General features: G+C 40.1%; 1 annotated feature.

Moving 5' to 3' along the window:
- Positions 850 to 1,372: an enhancer, noted in NCBI's record as "NANOG hESC enhancer chr7:113061672-113062194 (GRCh37/hg19 assembly coordinates)". NCBI's record gives its function as "activates a minimal SCP1, AML or CMV promoter by ChIP-STARR-seq in naive H9 embryonic stem cells {active_cell/tissue: H9 hESC(naive)}" and the evidence as "EXISTENCE:reporter gene assay evidence [ECO:0000049][PMID:30033119]".

Here is a 2,094-nt window from a genome sequence, read left to right on the forward strand (position 1 = left end):
GACAGCTAGCATGTCAATTCTATGACGCTGCAATTTGGAAAAAGAAAGGATGATATGCTAAGATTTAACTAATATATTGTAAATTCAGATCTTTCAGCCAAATGTTTTCTCAGTAATAAAAGTGTCAATTAGGTATGTTTTTTTTTTTACACAGATTGAATTTTTGACCACTTTATTTTATTTGCTCTCTTTATTCCAGTGTAAAATTCCAGAAATGAGGGTATATTCCAGGTGGGTGAACTGCACAGTACTTATTGTATAGTTCTCCTTGTTTAATAAAAAGTAAACTTTTTAAAAGGTACTGAAAGTTTTTTGTATATCAAGAAAATTAGCCGGGCATGGTGGCTTACGCATGTAATCCTAGCACTTTGGGAGGCCCAGTTGGACGGATCACTTGAGGTCAGGATTTCAAGACCAGCCTGGTCAACATGGTGAAACCCCATCTCTTTTAAAAATACAAATTTTAGCCAGGCATGGTGGCACATGCCTGTGATCCCAGCTACTCGGGAGGCTGAAGCAGGAGAATCATTGAACCTGGGAAGCGGAGGCTGCAGTGAGCTGAGATCATGCCACTGCACTCCAGCCTGGGCGCGACAGAGTAAGACTCTGTCAAATAAAGAAAAAGAAAAAGAAAATTAGCCCCTTGTTTTGCCAATATTTGCTCTCACTTTCTAAGTTTGTCTTTTGACAATTTATAATTTTTTTGCTTTGCAGAGTTTCTAAGGTATCATTTTCTCAGGCTATATTCAGGTATATAAAAAATTAAAAATAACATTTTCCTTCATTTCTGAGTACTTCAATTTTGTTCATATTCTTGGCATTCCTCCAGCCCTTCCTCTGTTTCACGTGATAACAGGTGAACTGCATTCACTCCAGTGTAATTCCATCCATTTCAAGTTTAAACAAGGTCAACTCAGGATTTCCTCTACTCCTCTACCTCTATTTCTCCCTGGGGATACTGTAAATTCTGGGTGTTCTCTGAGGGTCATGGTGTTGGGGGAATATGATTGGTCCCTCAGCTGGGTTCTGCTCCTGTTTGCATCTGCTGAGCTGGCCATTACACCCACCGATGATTGGCCTCACTAAAATGGCTGTGTTCCCCAACCCCGTGGCAGCCACCTGCTGGTTTCCTATTGTTACAACCATCTGCTGCCATCTGCTGGTGTATGCTCTTGTTACAACCAATGAGATCTCTTCAGGTCCCATAGGTCTCTCTCAGAACTTACAGCTGTGTACTTTTCAGGGTAATTTCATCTTCTCCTCCGTTGCTCTCTGGAGCTACAGGAAATTGGTGGGATTGCCTCAGCTCTCCTACTTCATCTTCACTGGTCCCATGATGCTGTGATGCCAGTCGCAACTCCTGTGAAGGACCTTCCCTCCTGGTGTTCCAGACAAGGATGGGGTACAAGTCTCCTGTCACTCTTAGATCCCCAAACCTCCTTCTCCTACCTTTGAGAAAATTTTTATTTCCTTTTAGATAGACTAAAACTGGCTCAGAGTTATCTCCCATAATTTTTTGGTATTTAAATTGGGCCACAGAAAGGCCAAGAACCTGACATAATTATCTTTGACTAACATGAGGTGTCTCTTCACTTTGTATCAATGAAGACTAGGTTCAGTTCTCATGCTTAAGTTAATACTGTAGAGAAGTCAAAGGGAACATAGGAAATAATCTGCCTGCTCATAATTGATATCATTATCATTCTGTACCCATGTTTACATAGTGGGATTTATCTGGCCTCCTGCTGCTGCTTCTGGTTTATGCCACAGTTATTTATTCTGAGGCCTTTTTTACCTAAAGATTTTGCAGAATTTCAACATATTTTCTTCTAGTACTTTTATAGACTCAATATTTTAAACATTTAAATCTTTGACTAGCATGGTATTTATGTTGCAGTGAGATGGGAATGCAGCTTATTAATTTCTCAAAATGACACAGCTACATAGCAGTTTGGATTTCTTGGAGGAAGATTAAGCCTGAAGAACTACTCAGAGATGCCGAAAATATTCATTAATTTTATGACTGGACCTATGAACCTGTCTTTAGAGACAGAGAATTTGCTCTCGACTTTGACTGCCTATCAGAACACCTGG

This window comes from Homo sapiens, chromosome 7 (assembly GCF_000001405.40).
Source record: "Homo sapiens chromosome 7, GRCh38.p14 Primary Assembly".
Taxonomy (NCBI): Eukaryota; Metazoa; Chordata; class Mammalia; order Primates; family Hominidae; genus Homo; species Homo sapiens.